This window comes from Homo sapiens, chromosome X, assembly GCF_000001405.40.
Source record: "Homo sapiens chromosome X, GRCh38.p14 Primary Assembly".
Classification (NCBI taxonomy): domain Eukaryota; kingdom Metazoa; phylum Chordata; class Mammalia; order Primates; family Hominidae; genus Homo; species Homo sapiens.
In genome coordinates, this window is record NC_000023.11 from 148,493,475 (window position 1) to 148,511,769 (window position 18,295).

General features: G+C 43.6%; 1 protein-coding gene across 5 annotated transcripts in view, besides 4 other annotated features; it reads left to right on the forward strand.

Annotated features, from left to right (window-relative positions):
* Window positions 6,969–7,132: an origin of replication, noted in NCBI's record as "C amplicon; peak of nascent strand synthesis detected by quantitative PCR of size-fractionated DNA". NCBI's record gives the evidence for it as "EXISTENCE:fractionation evidence [ECO:0000100][PMID:16582587]".
* Window positions 7,128–7,269: a tandem repeat, named in NCBI's record as "fragile site, folic acid type, rare, fra(X)(q28) E".
* The window catches only part of AFF2 (ALF transcription elongation factor 2), a 500,047-nt gene continuing 488,894 nt past the window's right edge, over window positions 7,143–18,295 (forward strand). For all 5 annotated transcript variants that reach the window (NM_002025.4, NM_001169124.2, NM_001169123.2 and 2 more), the window contains exon 1: window positions 7,143–7,670. In NM_002025.4, the coding sequence (NP_002016.2) occupies window positions 7,624–7,670 (47 nt within the window). In that variant the 5' untranslated portion in view covers window positions 7,143–7,623. The remainder of the gene's footprint in view (window positions 7,671–18,295) is intronic.
* Window positions 7,164–7,208: a repeat instability region, noted in NCBI's record as "repeat instability region; expansion of the (CCG)n trinucleotide repeat is associated with fragility at this site". NCBI's record gives the evidence for it as "EXISTENCE:Southern hybridization evidence [ECO:0000078][PMID:8334699, PMID:9032643]".
* Window positions 7,803–8,680: an enhancer, noted in NCBI's record as "H3K27ac-H3K4me1 hESC enhancer chrX:147582797-147583674 (GRCh37/hg19 assembly coordinates)". NCBI's record gives its function as "activates a minimal SCP1, AML or CMV promoter by ChIP-STARR-seq in naive H9 embryonic stem cells {active_cell/tissue: H9 hESC(naive)}" and the evidence as "EXISTENCE:reporter gene assay evidence [ECO:0000049][PMID:30033119]".

An 18,295-nucleotide genomic window follows, 5' to 3' on the forward strand; every position in this document is an offset into this window, starting at 1 on the left:
CTAGCTGTGCAATCTTGGTGAGTAACCTGAGCCTCCACTGGACTATAGATAATCAATAAGGTTCCTGGTAGTGCTGATATTCTATGATATTTTAAAAAACCCTATATGCTGGCAGAAAAGAAAAAGGCTATCTTGGGGCCATCACCCTGCTGAGAAATGTACATGACTAAAATGTCATCACTGATAAGTAAAGTCTCAAAGCATGGCCAGTTGACCTAAGAAGATGCTATTGAGTGAGGCACAAGTGCGACACCTGGAAGTGCAGCTGGGTGAGGGATATGGCCCTCTTCCAAGCTGTGGTCTCTCAGAAGATTGTGAAAGCATTTTGGCCTGGTTGGATCCCTCATAGCAATGCAAAGTAGACTATGGGGTGGAAATGGGCAGGCACTTTTTTGCCTGTTCACAACAGATCCCATTATCATTGGTGGTGGGTCCAGAGGCATCTCATTCATTGGGGAGGTTGCAGGTTTATGGAAGAAAGAGCCTGAGGGGGGCCATTGGGGTAGTGGTGGAAAGTCTCCTCAGCCATTTAACTGTTACAATCCAGGCCAACTCTGGGTCATCCTGATCATCCAGATCTGGTTTGACTTTTGTGAAAGGAGGAAGGATGAACCACCTAGTGGCAGAGAAGCATGGCCTCTTTGGAGCAGCAGTTCCCAGGAGGTGAAGTGATTAGGCAAAAGTTCTGGAGGCTGAGGCCTCTGCTCTCCTTTCACCCACAGAACAACACAGCCTAATTGTATCTCTGATGGCCATCACTGAGCCCAAGCATCAAAGCGTTCAAGAATAATTCAGAGCTTGAGGGGCTTACTGCATTCCATTTCCTGAAAATAAAAAGGCAGAAGCAGCTAAAAGTTGACTTTAGGCAGTCATTTCATTTCTATTAATGACACCGCCGAGGATTTTATTGTTAGCAACTTATTAGAAAAATAAAAGTTTCTCACGATGCTAATAATCAGGATGCTTTAAACAAAGACACTGATTTAAATCCCTTTAAATGTTTCAGTATGAAAATCAATGATCTGAACTCCCTCCAAAAAATGATTACCACGTAGAAAGAAGTTTATATATCTTAATAAATATTACTTTAAAAGCATGAAAACTTGCAACTGGAACCCATGCCTGGTTAATATATACCCTTTTGTAAACAAACTAACAACAACAACAACAAAAACTAGAATAAAACATCCAAATATAGCTAGTACACTTAGCACTGCTGATGTCACCTAATGGGGAAGCCTCTAAGACATCAGCTCCAGGGATGATGAGAGCACACATTTATCTGGGGCTTTTTACCATTTACAAAGCACTCTCATATACATTAGGTTTCCTCTCTGGCCACTGGAAAAATGCTTGACTTCCCTCTGGAATCCAGTCCTTCAGCTCTGTATAGCTGGCTCCAGGAAGAAACTGTTGGCAGCCACACTGCTGAATGGGTTGATGAGAGCAGCCCAGGGATAGCACTCGGAGCTCCAGGAAGTAGATTTCTCAATCACCATATCAGACATGGAGATTATTGATCTGGGCAATTCAGATGACTCTTCACTTTGCCTCCCTCATCATTATAAACTACGAATCTGCATTTGGCCATGGACTGGAGGTTATATAAAGGGACTTCAAATCAAGGAGCCATAGAATGCCAGAGCTGGACTGTTTCCCACTTCCTTAATTTATACACAAGAAAATGGAGCCCTCAAGAAGTTAGAAGAACTAGCCAGGGATTCGTCGTTGCATAGCAGCATAGTCATATGCAGAAGATAACTCCCTGTGGACACCTTACAGCCCACCAACATGTGTTCCCCAACAGTTGGCCAAAGAGGTTTCTTAGCCCTAGATTTATAATCTCCAGGAAAAAGCCCCATCTGAGTCTTCTTAAATGATGAAGCAAGAATTGCTCCACCGTATTCTTGCTTCCTGTTGCCTATTAGATTGACTTTCATTAATACAAGGGCATGGCTCAGTCAACTGCCTTCCTCCAATTCAGCCACAGTTGAGATCAGGGAAATTGCACCATGAGAATTTTTTTTCTAATCCAACAGTTAACTGATGCCACTTCAGTCCCAAACTCCCAGGGTATTATAGTTCATCAGGGTGGCCCTGAGACTATAAACAACAATGTGGTAAGTAGAACAAGCACTGGATTTCATGCCCAGCCCCAGCTGCTCAGCTGTCCCACCATGTGCCCTTGGTGAAATCACTTTAACTTGTTTCCTCTACTGTCAAATGGAGAGTATGGTTAATTCTCTGCTTACCTCTCAGAGCTAAAGTGAGATGAAATACTTTGTGAATGCACAATGGGGGTAGTATGGCAGTGTGGATTAGTACATGGGCTTTGCCAGCAAACCAGCTTGGGGACAAAACCTGGCTATGGCACTTATGAGCTCTGTGACTTTGAGTAAATACTCAGATTCTGTGAGCCTTGGCTTTCTCCTACAAAATAAGTAAGTACAATACTAGTATCTACCTCAGAGAATCATGCTGAGGAGTAAATGAAATAATGTATATACAACGCTTAGTACTGTGCCTGGTATATAGAGGCTCAATCAATGTTATCTCTTTTATGGTTATGCTAAATATGTAAAAGGAATTACAGCAACATATCATCTAAAATCAGAATAACGTGACCTTTCAAATACCATAAACCTAATGAAGCAGATGATTGACATAAGGTCAGATGGTGTTTGATATTTAGGACTTCGTAGGAATCCAGAGCCAGGGACTTTAGAAGAGCTCTGAAATGGGATCATTACCTATGATAACCAGAAAACTCAAGTATAGGGTCTTTCAATCATGATGCATGATTGAGATCCAAAGTATAAGTGGTAGAAACAGGAGTTGTGAAAAAAAATTACATATGCATATTCAGGAAGTTCAGAGAATTGTCCTGACCCAATTTGAAATCAACTCCTGAGATTGCTACCTATACAGAAGCTGGTTAGATAGATCCTGGAAGGGTCTACTATGTGTCAGATACCATCCTAGGCTTTGATGACATAGACTCAGGCCCTGCCCTCATAAGGCTTACAGTTTCTAGGGAGAACTGAGATTGAAATAGGCTGAGCACTGTGGCTCACGCCTGTAATCCTAACAGTTTGGGAGGCCGAGGCGGGTGGATCACTTGAAGCCAGGAGTTCGAGACCAGCTTGGCCAACATTGTGAAACCCCATCTCTACTAAAAACTACAAAAAAATTACTTGGGCGTGGTGGCGTGTCCCTGCAATCCCAGCTACTGGGGAGGCTGAGGCAGGAGAACCTGGAAAGCGGAGGTTGCAGTGAGCTGAGATCGTACCACTGCCCACTGCACTCCTACCTGGTTGACAGAGTGGGACTCCGTCTCAAAAAAAAGAGAGAAAAGATTGAAGTATTTCTTTAGAAGAATCATTCTGGACATTGCAGCCCATGTGTGGAAACTGCCCCAAATTCAGAGTCATGTCACTCCATTCTAAACTCATGGCAGCACCAAGTGGCTCTGTCCGAAGAGGAGCCACGGTTATGAAAGGTGGTAGTCCCCATGGTGCCCATGGAATTCTTTCCAGCAAGCTTCCCCAAATGAGCTGTAACCTGGATCGTAATTTCTTCCTAGAAAGTAAGTCAGCCTGACAGCATACCAGGTCAGAAACAAATGCTTAATATTTTAAGTGGAAATCTGTGGTGTGACATGATGACATGTGTATCACACGTTGTCAATTTGTTCATTTCCTGTAACTGACATGCACAGTGCAACTTTCTTAAACTAATCCTAATTTTTAGACACTACCCGAACCTGCATGACAGTGCCTTTAGTACGACTGTACAAATGGAGGATTTCAAGTTCTTTGAAACAAAGATTAGTACCTGGAGACTACAAATTAAACTCCTTTAAAAGTAATTCAAGTCAAAAATCTCACTTTAGAAAATCTGAAAATCAGCATTTCTATAAAACCAATCCCTCTTAAAAACAATTTCTGGTTTTATCTCAGTGGATTGGGGCATGGAGTCTCAGTTTTGATCCTTTCCTGTCAGAAAAGATGGCTTTCTGTTGGCCTACGGGTTCTCCCAGTAGGTTCCTTTTGGTTGGGGTTTTGTGACTAGGGGAAATTGGTGAGGCACTGGCAGGGGTGGGGGAGACAGTCAGAATGGGAGAAGCCAACAGAGGGAGAAGGGTCAGAGGGAGAGAAGGTTGTGCCTGCAGTTTCTAAAATATTCGGTTGAACTGAGAGTTCTGAAACTGGGGCCTGAGGTGGGTTTTGCTAGGTAAGAAAGGAGCTTTTCCAGCCAAAACAAAGGCATTAGGCTGGTGAGGGGGAGTATTCCACCATAGCTAAGATGCCATAGTGAGTGGAATGAGAGGGAAGCAACTGGATCCCCACCACAGGCTAGATGACAGCTAGATGACCCCAGTATGACAGCAGCAGTGGGCCCTCCCTCCAGATAGCCTTTTTATTTCCTCTTGCTACTGCCCTCCATGCAAAGTGCTTTCTCCACCCTCCTGCTAGCTTTTTGGTGGAGGAAGCATGGCTTGGATCCAGCATCCTGCCCACATGTTTGAGGATTCATTGAAGAGCTGAGTTCTAGGGCCCCTGGCCCCATCAGAGCCACGGATGCACAGAGTGAGGAGGAAGGGAGAAAGCACACCTTGGATCAGAGAAGACAAAGCTTCTATCTTGCTCAGTAGCTGATGCTCAGTGAGCAGGTGCCAGGCCCGGCCAAAGAGGCCTCAGGGACAGCCTGGCCCCTTCAGTGTTGCCTGTCTTAACCTCATCTCTGTTTGAGGAGAGTGGCTAGGAAGTGGGGGCTCCTTCCACCCAACCCAACCTTCCTGCTTGGTTTTGATCTCAGGAAGGGAAAGCCCCTGCCCCTCTTTTGAAGCAGCAGCCGGCACCACTTGTCTCTTCTCTCCTTCCCGCAGGCACTTCTGTTCATAGTGCTGCCTCTTGCTGGCTCCTTCTGCTTCTGCTTGGTCCTCCTGCTGATTGGGAAGAAAGTGCACCAGTGAGGTGATGGGGGGCTGGAACTCTTAAAGGGGCAGCTTTATTTCTGTTGAAAATTTGTTTGCCTAGCATGTTATTTTTTTTTCTATCTTTCCCCATTAAATACAATTTTGTGAGAAAAGTAAACCAGAAATAAAGTGACCATAATCACCATTTAAATGTTAATTGTAGGTGTTCTGGCTTTCCTCTAAGGATTTTCAAGCAGATCAAGTACTAATGCTGGCAACCATCATCAGCAATCAAATCCAATTTGAGGATTTTTTACTGAAGGCATAAAGGTCGGGGGCCACAGATCTGAGCGAGGCCGTCCTTGTTGCTTTAAGGGCTCTCAGTCCAGGGCTGAATACTAGAATTCCATGAATAAATAAGTCACAGAGATAATTTGAAAATCCCCAGCACCATTTTTGCCAATAACTGTTTCTCCATAGAGTCTTTTTGACCAGAGGAGTTTACAGGTAGCCAAATCTACAAGCCACTTTGAGATGTCGTCTCCCCTTGGCTGCCCACTGGTTGATTTTCCATCAGTCAACCAGCATCTGTTGAGGACTTGGTCCCATGCAAAGTAAATAGACATCTAAGCAAAGTCCCAGTGGATGCTTGAGTTGCAGAATCTTAGAGCCTTGTTTCTCTATGTTAATGATGTGCTTTCTTTCCCCCCGTAAAACAATGTGAAAGAGACCAGACCCTGGGCCCCTTGTAGCTCAAATGCTGAAGTCATTCATGCTTGGAGCTGAGGCACCTTCTACTGGCTCCAGCCCTGGAAGAGCTTCCCAGGTTCTAGGTTCTAATCTGGGATCCCCCTCTAGGGGAAATATCAGATCTTGAGCATTTTAATGTCTTAGGGTCTCTGTTTCTTCAGGAAAAAAATGAAGTTAAAAGGTATTTGGATGATTTTGGTAATATGAGATAATACTGTAGAAGCATATTCAAATAGAAGGGAGAATGTCAGAGAAGTATGAGCCAGAGGGCTGCTGGGTGTTTTATGGAGAAACTGAGGCCCAGATAAGTGACTTGCTTGGAGTCACACACAGAGCTACCGGCACCCTGCTCTGTCAGGGCTCAGTCTGCTGTCCTTCCCAAGAGAGTTCTAGCCTTAGGATTTGAAAAATGTGCCAATACTATTCCCTCTGTATAACGACACGAAGAAGGCAAATTACATGCCTAGGACTCCAGAATGCTCATGTCCTGAAATGCCAGAAAGCGGTCCCGCCCCTTCCCACAGACCTTTCTCTGCACGGAGGCCAGGGAACCTTTCCCTCCAGGGAATTGGCTAAAGGGATCCACTCCTTCCTGGATCAGAGGTGGAGGTTGAAGGGAGTAGGAGGCTCGGTTAAACCCTCCACGTGCAGAAAGAGAATTTCAGGCCAGAAGGGAGACGGGCAGCCGGTGCGTGGGATACTGGGCACACACCCAGTGGTTTTCCCATTTCTCAGAGGAGGAGCTAGCAGAAGTCTTTTGCTCAAGGCACCTGGTGACCGTGCGAGGAAAGTGACAGTGGAACCCAGTTTAACAGTATCCTAACCCCGAACTCAAGGACCACGCAAGGGCAGTCATTTGTTCCTATCCTTGCTGCCCACTGAATCCAGGGCCTATAGCTCGCTGACCTACTAGGTGCGCGCCTAAAGGCATGCCTGGAGGGCCTGGGTGCGGGCACGTGGAGCCACGGGGCTGGTGAAGGTGACCGCCTTCTCCTTCCTGGACCCGCGTGCTACGCACTACAGACCTGAGGGATGCTCAGGCCCGCAAAGTTTGCTCCACTACTCGGGGGCTCAAGGAGCTGTGCTTGAGGTGGCAGGGGGCGACCTTCAACCCCACGGCTGTTTGTGCTGTCTTTTCTAGTTCAAAACTAATTCCCAGTGGTGGGGGTGGGCTGGGCTTCAGAGAGGGGTCCCATTCCCGAAGCCCGCGTCCTGGTCCCGCCAGCCCACCTCCTGTATCCCTGCCACGGCCCCTGCGTCCCGGGTCCGGGTCCGGGTCCTCAGCTCTGTGGCCGCTCCCACTAGCTGATTTTGACAGTGGGGGGTGGGAGAGGGTTCCCGAAAGGCAGGGGCGGGCGCGGCGAGCCCCTGCCAGATCCGGGGATGATAACGTGCCTGCTCCATGTCGCGGCTTCTAGCTGTCCAGGCTCCGCCCCCTGTGAGTGTGTAAGTGTGTGATGCTGCCGCGGCCGCCGCCGCCGCCTGTGCAGCCGCTGCCGCCGCCGCCGCCGCCGCCGCCGCCGCCGCCGCCGCCGCCGCCGCTGCCGCCCCGGCTGCCGCGCCGCGCCGCTGCCTCTGCCCCGGCCGCCCCCGCCGCCGCTGCCGCCGCCGGCCCGCAGCCAGCCAGGCGGGCGGCCCAGCCCGCCTGAGCCCGCAGCGGCTGCCGCCGCAGCGTCGGGTCGCTGGGTGCGCGGGCTACCGCGGACCGAGCGGACCCGAGTGGGCGACCAGGCGCTTGCCCGCCCAGTGCCACTGCCGCCGCTTCCTCGCCGGAGCACAGGACCAGACACCTCCAGCGCCCGCTGCTGCTGCCGATGCGGCCCGGACACTTTTAGCTGGGCGGGAGGGCTGGAGAGCCGGGGGCCGCCGAGAACCGCCAGCGAGCTGTGCCGAGAGCCGCGCCGACCCGCTGCGATCAGGGACAGGCGCCCGCCCGCCGCCGCCGCCTGGCCGCTATGGATCTATTCGACTTTTTCAGAGACTGGGACTTGGAGCAGCAGTGGTAGGTGTTGATTTTTGCCTTCTCCTTTGATGAGCGAGTCTCCTGGCGAAGTCTGAGGTTTTCGCCTTTGTTAAGAGGAGCTGAAGCTGTCGTGGGGGGCGCCCCGGACTCCCTCCCACTTGCTCTCAGCCACCTCTGGCCCCGGCCGCGCTGACTCCTAGGTCGGATGCCGGGGTGGGGGGAGGTGCGGGAAGAGGGAGGGATGCGGACCCGAAAGCGTCGCTTTGCGCTCCAAGTCTAAAGAGTTGCATTTGGCTCACATCGAATTCGGTGCCGCCCGAGGGCTGAACCGCACGACCTCCCAGGAGCTTTTCTCTCGGAGCGGCTTGCCGGTCTGGCCTCCTTGAGCCCCGGATGCCGCCCGCCCGAAATGTCTCAACTTTCCAGGTGCCCAACGCCCGCGGCGGGCCATGGGGGAAAGGCAACGGCCAGGTGCGGCCAGCAGCCCTCTGCTTCCTTGGTGGCCACCGCCCCCGCTGCCGCCACCTCCATCCCTGCGCTGCGCGGCGCGCACACCTTTCCTTCTGCCGACTCAGCCCAAGTTCCCTGCACTCCCGGGTGGAGCAGCGGCTTTGGGGGCCACCACTCAGGGGACCTTGGTTCGAGGCCGACTTCGGCGCTTGGCTTTCAAGACTGAGGGTTTTCGGAGTTGGCCCCCCAAATCCGCAGCTCTGATGTCAATGCACATTTAATTACCGGATGGACCCCCTTCGGCCTCCCACTGGGAGGCAGCCGTAGTTTTTTGTAAGGGACCTCCAGCTCAGATTCAAAGGTTGAGTCAGCTCTTCACAAAATACCCTAAACTTGTCGCTGAGACATTTTGAAAGATGGTAGAAAGGTGACTGGGGACCTGGAAAGTTGTTAACTCTCTTAGAGATGTGCGTGCGCGTGTGCATAAATACTGATATACATATCTATTAACTTTTCAAAAACTTCACCTACTACAAACATTATCACAGTTTATTTGTCATAATACTTAAACGTATCAGATTCCCCCCGCAGTCTAAGGAATTAGATGGGGAGGGGGCGCAGTGGTAACCGCTTAAAATTGCATTCTTGGTTATTGCCTTTTAAAATGTATTTAGAATGATCTGTAGTACCTACCAATAGTGCGAAATCTTTTGCAATGTTAAACTACTAGCGGCCGTTGGTTATGAATGCTGTGTATTTTTACAAGGATTTCCCCTGTTGATGTGATATTTTAGGCAATTTCCTTCTTTAAAAAAGGGTCATATGCTTAGCCAACAGCTTCATTATGCCAATCATGCCTCCTTTAGTTGCAAATCCAAGATAGTCAGAACTTAAATACATTTTATTTTACAGCAATTCCGGATAAATCCTTGAAGCGCAAATTATGCTGTATCAGTATTAATCTATAAGGCGTTTTGGATACCACGGTTTTATCAGCTCTGTAGAAATACATTGTTACATTAAAAAATGCTGTTATTTGAAAGTAAAAATTACTATAAAATTATTGCTCAATTAGATATTATGCTTCTGCACACAGCCTTTACTCTGCTTCACTAATTTATTTTGCAGACAACTGATAACCATAGCACTCTATTTGCATACAATTTGCCTAATATGTGGTGTGGGTTACATCGTTAATTTAACAGACATTGTTATAATTAATTTCATGGGTATAGTTCAAATGTTAAACATATACAAGGTATTAGGTTTTTAGAAACATGTTTTTTATATTAATTCCGGTTTAATCTTATGCATATGCAATTGCATATTTAAAGGGAATGGACTCTTTTATGTTTGATTTCTTTAAAAAAAATGATAGGCTCCCTCACCCCTGTGGGAGGCTTTCTTTTTCTTATCTTAAGGAAAATGCAAAACCTTTTTTTCCTCCAGATCCCTAACTGAGACACATCAGTTAAGAAGCATAGACTTGGACACTTCGTGAATATTATGTGAAATACTGATTAATTAGTGTAACGCATCTGCATAAATAAGCCTGTCCTTTCCCTCTGTACATGATCCAGGAAAATTTCTCCTTCTTACTGCTCGTGAGTGGCACACTTCGTGATGCATCTCTGTTTATAAACATTTGTAATGTGGTTGTGCTTTTGTGTTTTGTATAGCTCCACAGAGAAAAGGAACATAAATGTGACAATAGTGGATGAACTAAAAAGCTTGACATTGTCTTGAGTGGAAATTGGTACCTTTCCCACTTCTCTTTGGAAGTCCAGAGCATGCCAGTTACGTGTTCATTATATGTTTACTTCCATTCCTTGGGAGTAAATAGCTACTTAAAGTGATGGCCTCCACTCCCCACGCCCCCAAGCCCCCAGGAGGGCCAAGAAAGGAAAAAAGACCAGCAAAGTTAACGATCTTATTTACCTTGAATTTATTCTTAACATTCACTTATGGAACAGTAAGCTCTGAGCTGTCTCTACTGCAACCCTAGATGTCTGACAATAAATGGATCAGGACAGCTTAAAAACAAACTCATTTTCCTAGACATAATGAAGAAAGACTTTACATACACAGGCATATGTGTTATTTGCAAACACTTGACTGTAGTAAACAAAAAGTGTGTGCCCATTTATAAACACACACATTTGTTAGGGCAAATGCAAATGGAAAGGATGGGGTACTAATGATGCTGCAGTGTGCATGTTATGTGCAGTGTTTTGGAATGCTCACATGCCTAATGGAACATACCACTGGATTTCACAAACTGCAAGAATAACTTAATGGGTCATGCTCTGGACTCGATTAAAGGGCCAAAGCTCAAGTTCTTTAAGATTCTTGGATGAATGAGCAATGTTCACCTGAGTCTGAATTTAATATAAACCATTCTGTGAAAGAAAAAGATGGCACAGATGTCTGTCTGTGTGCATGAAAGACATCACTTGCTCTTAAAGAAAAAGATAAATTAAAAAAAAATCAAATTTCTTCATTTAAATCATTCCATAGACTTGTTTTTGGTAACCAAGTAAATGAATACTTGAGGTGACTGAAGATCAGGTAATGATGTCATTAATCCCCATTTAAGAGGGAAAAAAAGCAAATTCAGAGGGCCTACAAAATGTACAGCCTTTCAGTTCTGTAAGCACCTCCCACCCAGTATTGATTAGGTATTGCTTTGTGACAAGCCAAGGTTCTTTGTGGGGATGCTTACCTTTTCTTCATTGGAAGGAAGGAAAGGAAAGAAAAGAAAGAAAATACAGAAAGGGACACATTCTTAAAAAAAAGAAAAGAAAAGAAAAGAAAACCACCGTGATAGCAAAATCAGAACGTTCAAAAGCCTAGTTAAAATCGTAGTTAAGTGACTGTGACAGTGGCTGGCTTCTCACCGCAAGGGACAGCATCAATTGTTTGTAGTTTTTATGTGATGTCTCACAAATAGCCTAATTAGAGGCAAGCTTGCAAACGGGCAGTTATACAGGAAGAGACTTAAACTCACTAAACTGTTATATAAATAGAAAGTTCAAAGGTCTGTGTGGGGCTGTCAAGGCTGAGAAGGGGCCATGTGCCGGCCAGGCCTCTCCTCCTCCGGTAAAGGCAGCCCCCAGGGCCTGCCCCAGCAGTCCGAACTGCACTTTCCCCAGTTTTCTTCGACCTTGCGAGGGCGGGGCAGTGCCGGAGAAGGGGCGGGGGGCTGCTTTCTAGACAAAAGTGAACTGTTTCAGCTCCAGCCGGGCATGGCCCATGCACTGCAGCAACCCGGCTGCCTCCTCCTGTTCTGTGCGCACAGGTCTTCCGAGGCCTCGTTAGCTACAATCCTCCAGAAGAGCGGAACAGGACTGTTTATGGATGGGAAGGTGTGGGAGATGGGGGGAACACAACCTTTGCCAACTTGGAGATACTAGGGCTGTGGTGGGGTGGGGGGAGGGGAAGTCCTGTTTTGAATAAGGCCTAGAGATTCCCAGCATTTCTTGTTCTCTACCTCCATCCATTTATCTTTCCCGTTTTCCCTCTGTGGTCTCTTAAAAGGGAGACTGCCTATGGTCTGTTTTCTTTGCTAGTACAGTATGCATTCTCCCGTGTGTTTGAGCATTCATTCAACAAACCATTTTAGGTTGTGTTTCTTAAGGGAATGTGTGGGTAGGAGAAATTTAAGTTGGTGAAATTCACTAGTAAGGTCTCCTCCGCAACTCCCCAAACCCTCCAAAGAATAAAAGCTATCTCAGTACATCTTAAGAGGCACATCTATTGGACACGGAAGAAAATTATCTCATGGTAGAAATCAGTTTAATGATACATGAATTGTTTTGCTAATGATTCAGTCAAGCATTTAACAACTTTAAAATATACAAATCAAGGTAGAAAATGACTGCCTGGAAAATGAGTCCATCATTATAGACATGAATGAGATTCCATACATTTAAGCATCCTGTAGATGGATACAAATTATATTGTATTTAAACATGCTAATTATTGTTGAATAGAAATGGCTTTAATGTACTAACCTTTAACATGTAATAAATGCCCATGATTCTTAGCTAAGATTATTTTGCCATGCAAAATTTGCACTTATTTAACATAATTTCAAAATTGTAGAAGTCCAATGAAATGGCCTTCTCTGGAACAATTTAGAGCTGTGGCCTTAAGAGCTTGTAACTGTAGGTCATACCTCAAAGCGGAAAACTGCCATATACTTGATTAGCCTGTCACGTAGACAAAACAATTTTTGCTGCAGTGACTGCATTTTTCACTTGTAATTTTGTTTTTCTTTTTCTGATTGCTGTTGGATAAAGAGAGATTTCAAAAACTTGCTTACTGATAAATGGAAAGAAATGTTACTGATTAAAGAACTCAAGACCAAACTTGAAGAAACCTTTTTGAGTGTGTGTGTCTGTGTGTGTGTGTGTGTGTGTGTGTGTGTGTTACCTGTGGTAGAACTCAACATTATCATTGCTACTATAATTTGAGTGTTTACTCTGTGCCACAAGCTTGGACTAAATTCTGTAAAGACTCAATTTCGTTTAATCCTTCCAACAACTTTCTGAGATAGGACCTGTTATGATCCCTGTTTTACAGATGAAGCAATGAAATCACACAGGTACTCACTCAGTGATGCAATCCAGGTTTCAGCATAGATGGAGCTGACTCCAGAGCCTGCATCATCAACAACTGACGTTTTGTCTGAGCCTTTCCAACATGTGGAATGCTCTTCCACATGCTATCTCATTTGATCATTGTGAGTTAGAATGTTCAGGGGTTCTTGCCATTTTATTGAATGGCAAATTCATTCATTTTTTGTGTGGATCCGAATATTTATTTAGCCGTCACTGAAACAAATGGATTGGATTGTGTATATTGTACTTGTGGAAGAAATCTGTGGAATTACCATGTAATTTGACCAGCCATGGAACTCTGCTTTTTCCTTTTAATTAGAAAGAGAACAGTCTATATACTGATACAATCTCTTAGCATGTCATTTATGGATGCCCCCTTCATGAAAATGTGAGAATGGAAAATTATATATATATATATAAAGGAGACAAATCTCAAGTCCTTGAGAATTGTTCATTTAAATCTGAATGCTCAAATTTTGAAGATTTGATACTTGAACATAAAGAAGACCATGGTATATTTTTTGGCTCATTTGGAGCCTCAAAACTGGAGGTGGGAAGTTGGTAACATTTCTTTCCAAAGCTTTCTAATCTTACCATATGTATTAATTGATTGGACCCTCACAATAACCTTAAAGATTTGTTAGGATTGATATTTTAGCTTCATTTTGTAGATAATAAAACGGAAGTTCAGAGAGGTTAAGTTACTTGCCTGAATTTGCACAGTAGGTGAATAGTCTTAGGATATGTGTTTGTTGCTCTTTTCGCTGCATCACCACTGGTGCATTAAGTTGTTAATATTTAAATATCCACGTTGCTTCCTAGAGAATGGTGTGTCACCCTCTGGCATCATTTAGCACAGTGTTTTTCCATCAGAGGTACTCAATAAACATCTGTTGATTGATGTTACAGTCACATTCGACTCAAAGACTGTTCCATGCAAATGCAGGTCTCTTTCAAGGATAGTTACTTACTAAATCCTAGTGATAATACTGTCCCTCTGCCTGTGTGATTGTATATTAGTTATTTGTAATTCTTTTCATGTCTCTTAGCCAGTCTGATCTTTTTGCAGAAAATAAAGAGAATAACCAATGGATACAGAAGAAGATTAATAGGAAAAGGCAAAAATAGTATCCATGTAATTGGCATGTTTTTAAGAAACAGAATTTCTATGAATTCCAAGATATGTTTAGCCCAAAAGAAAAACAAGAGGAAAGAATATCTTTTAAGGTACAGCATTATAGGAATTAACGGACTGGTATTGTGTCTCAATCTGCATTGAGAACATTAATAAAGAATGTGTAACAAAAATCTGAGGAAAATATGAGTGGTCGGAGGGTTGGGATTCCTCCAGCTTTCCTTGAGTTTCAGTCTTTATGACTTGTATTTCATCATGAGAAGGCTGTTTTTCTACTTAACTGTAGCAGATCCACACCATAAATTATCATGACTGTTAAACAAAGGTCCAGCCCTGGGTTCTTCTAATGTAAAACTTTTATGTTACACTTTAATGAAATTTTATATGCATGTTCAAAGCAAGGCACACTTTACACCGTAGAGAGGGTGATGCACTGAATTGTTGAATTTATTTTGAAGTAAATCTTTTAGATGACCTTAGCGTCTAACATCTACCTACTTACTGAGCTGAAAAAAAGTTATCTGAGAGCTGAAAAAAATGACATGATTTAAGCAGAGCTGACAATAGCACTATAGCTAGAATGTGATTTTGATTATGGATTGCTTACTTTATGGGATGCTGTTTTTCAAACATACCTGTGTATTTTGCTTCATTTGAAAAATAAAATCAGCTAATGTTTCAAAGTAATCTTCGATTTGGTTCTTCAGTAGGTACGTTCTCTTATATGAAGGTGTAAAAGCCACACTTTGAGGATTAAGCTAAGGAAACAAGCTTTGTTTTCATTACAAAATCAAAATCACTCATCTGTTTATTTTTCCAATGCTTCGTTTGTTGGAGAAATAAAAGACATTACTTCCATCCTATGGAGAACAGTTTGTTTTGTTAGATTTCCAAATAATAGTTCTCTGCATCATCTACCATCTTCAATGAAAACCAGATCTCAGTAGCAGATACTGGTTCACTTGGTGACCTTTATTAAACCATTTTCCTGGAGTCAGTTTTTGTGTTTTGTAGGCAACGTATCTCCTGGAAATAAATAGCTTTGAAATGGTTTCTTTTTTGTATAAGTAAAAAATAATATGCTACTTGTTTTGTAGTGGTGCTGAAATTGAAATCTCAGCTTTAACAATCATTGGAAGAAGTTGCTTGCTAAAATTGTGATGTCTTCTTGGTGTTTGGGTTTCTAGTATGGTTTGATCAAACCAACCAAGCAGATGGAATGTGTTGTTATAAGGTCATTTTAACCTGTAGACTACGGCAATATGTACATGACAACCTGACTATCTGTTGAACAATGAAAAATGCAATTACGTAGGCTTTATTTCCCCCTTCAGGATGTCAGCCAACAAATTTTTTAATGAATTAATTTTCCAAAGGACTGATTGTTTTCATGCCAGGTCGGCACAACCACAGTGACTAAATTAGACTCAGTGTGATGGATGTTTCTGATGAAGTGCCGTGGAGAGGTCTCATCAATTTGCTATTATTTATTTGCTGCCAAAGTGCTTGGCTTTGGTGTGTAGACGTTAATCAGGTCGTAGAAGCTAGAGTTTTAAGGCTGGAGGGCCCCTTTGGATCATGTGATCCAAACTCCTCATTGTACAGATAAGGAGACTGAGGCCCAGGATGGGAAAATGACTTGCCCAAGGACATCCAGTCAGTAATTGGCAAAGCCGGGTCAGGAGCCCTTGTACCCTGGTTCAGTGTTTGTCATCTCTCAAGAACTGTTTGTATTGCCTACCTACTCTGTGCCCAACACTCTGCTAGTCAGTCATTTTTAGGGAGAGATGAAAGGACCGTAGAAGATGACCTCTGGCCTCACAGAATTTACATTGGAAAGTATAATTAGAATTAGGGAAATACTATGACATGGACTGTAAGTAAAACAGGAATTCTGGGAGAGAGAGAGAATGCAAGCTAAGTAGGCAAAACAGTCCTGGTCAAGGCCCATGAAACTCTTTTATTACTATTAGTGCACTTCAGAGTGAAATGGAAATCCAGAAATTTTTATTGTTTAGGGGACCCGGAGCATTGAATACTCAACATAAGACAATTGACTTTGGACCCTGAATTATCTGGTTTGACAGTAGCTCACATTCATCACATAATTGCCTGAGTCCTCTTTTGCTGTGTGAATGGAGTATTCTCATTAACACAGACCAACATTTGCTGAGGGACAACCACAAAAGTCTCCCAAGAAGAGCTTTGGAAACATTTGTGCAAACATTCTTCAAAGAAATACCAAATGAAAATGTGTTTTTTTTCTGAAATAATTGAAACAAGTGTTTGTAAATTGGTACAATTGCTAGCAAAATGGCCATTTTTCAAAAGAAGGGTATACTGTAGCTCTTGAGATGTTCACAAATACATTGTTTCTTTTGCTCTTTCTCCTTTTCTAAAAATATAATTAACTGTTTTGTTTGTTAGGTGTGTACCAACATTTTACCATTAGAATTTCTTTTTTCCTAAAAAGGGAGTTGGTGCCTTCGTACTGTGTGAATTGTGTTGACATCTGTGTTTACGATTAGCTGTTTGGCCACCAAGTAATTCTTTGCCTGGCTATGTCATTGTTCAAATCTCAACTCTATCTCTGGGAAGCTGCTAGTGAGCAGCAGGACCTCCTGCTTCCTCCGTCCCTCAAACTCCCATACTCCTACCCAGTCTGTTCAGATGCCTCTCCTCTGTGCTTTCATACCTTCCTGAGCTGACTTCCACCTGGGCTGGATCCTGCTTTCTCCCTTCCCCAACTCTTCCCATGCAACTTTGTTGTTGTGAAAGATGAGAATGTGTCTTTTATTTTTGTGTTCCCAGTCCCTGGCCCAGAATAATAACCTAATGCTGCCAGTTCAGAGTGCAGCATCATTCATTTATTCAGTTCATTCAGGCACTATGCTAGTTCTTCAAAATATTAAATCTAGCTGAGAAGACCTAAAAACGGTATTAATAGTAATAATTTAAGCTAATAATTACAGGTAACATTTCCTATGTTACAGGTTCTGATTTGTGTTATCCGATTTCTCTATTAACAGAGCAGGAAACTGGGACAGAAGGGTTCAGCGACTTGCCCAAGGCCATACTGGTAGTATGTTGCTGAGCTTGAATTAATCCACAGGCCATGTGAATCCTTAGCTTCTCTGCTAATCTATAAGGATACCCTAGGATAGATGCTATACTAGTGGCAAGCCCTGCTTGTGCTTGGGCTCTATAGTAGACTGGGCTAATGAGGACTTTACCACTCATCCTTAGTATTTACAAATTGGGTCTAAGTTCATTATCAAATATGAGGCATGACTTTCCAGATATCTACTCCAACAAGAGACACACAAGTCTGTTCCTCTTTGGTGTAAGTGGCAGATTCTGATCTTGGGAGGAAGGTATACTGGTTCAAAAACCTGAACCTAATTCAAACTTGACAAGAATGTGAGCTCATTAAGGGTGGAGAGTTTTGTTGGTTTTATTCACTGCTGACACTGCAATGCTTAGAACAGTGTGTGGTGCACAGTAGGTGCTCAGTTATTTTTTGGTGAATAGGTAGATGGAATGATAGACAAAAACCTGCTTAATACTTTGTGTGATTAAATTTGTGAAGAGATAGCTCAAGAGGTGTAAGAATGAGGACCAAGAGAAGTGCTAAAATCACAATGAGCAGACAGGTGGGTACAGGTAGGTGTGTTGCCTTGCCTTCTGTACATACTTTTCTGAAATAGGATGCTTATAGAAATGTTATAAATTAAATGTTCTTTATGTGCATCTTACTTGCCAGGAATACCGTAGGGAAGTCTTTGTTGATGAGCAAAATCTCTCCCAAACAGCCCTAAACTTATCAGATTTGTGTACAGCATTTTGAGATTTTAGATTTTTGTGTACAGCATTTTCTTGTCATGAGGTATACCTACATTTAATATCTGCAACAGTGCTTTAAGGGTAATTGGGCAGCCTTAAAAAAAAAAGGTGTAGTAACTTGTTACCATCCCTGAATTGTAGCTTTCATCTAGTACAAAGGGGGGATAACAGACTTCAACATTTGCTGAGTATTTTTCTCCGCGCTTTTGTAACGTTGTCTCCTCTTAGCTAGATGCCCGTTTGCTTAATAGTTCCCGCTTTGGAGGCTAACCTGGGATTTGAATTTTCCTAACATATATTTTTACATTGAACACATTTTCTATTTATGCCTCTGGAGGATTCAAATTACAATTTCATCCCAAGGATGTGCAGAAAAGTTTCCACACGTGCTGATTTTAAAGAAATCTATAAGATAATTTGGTAGGGAAAGAGGATTAGCATTTACAGAGCATTATGGCATATACTTTACAAACATCACCTCATTGAACAAGGACCCTAAAAAATAAGGGTTTTCACCCCCATTTTACAGACAAGAAAGATGAGAATCAGAGGGGTACACCCCTAACTTTCTCAAAGTCACATGATTAGCCAACAGCAGAGCCCCAAGTCCAACT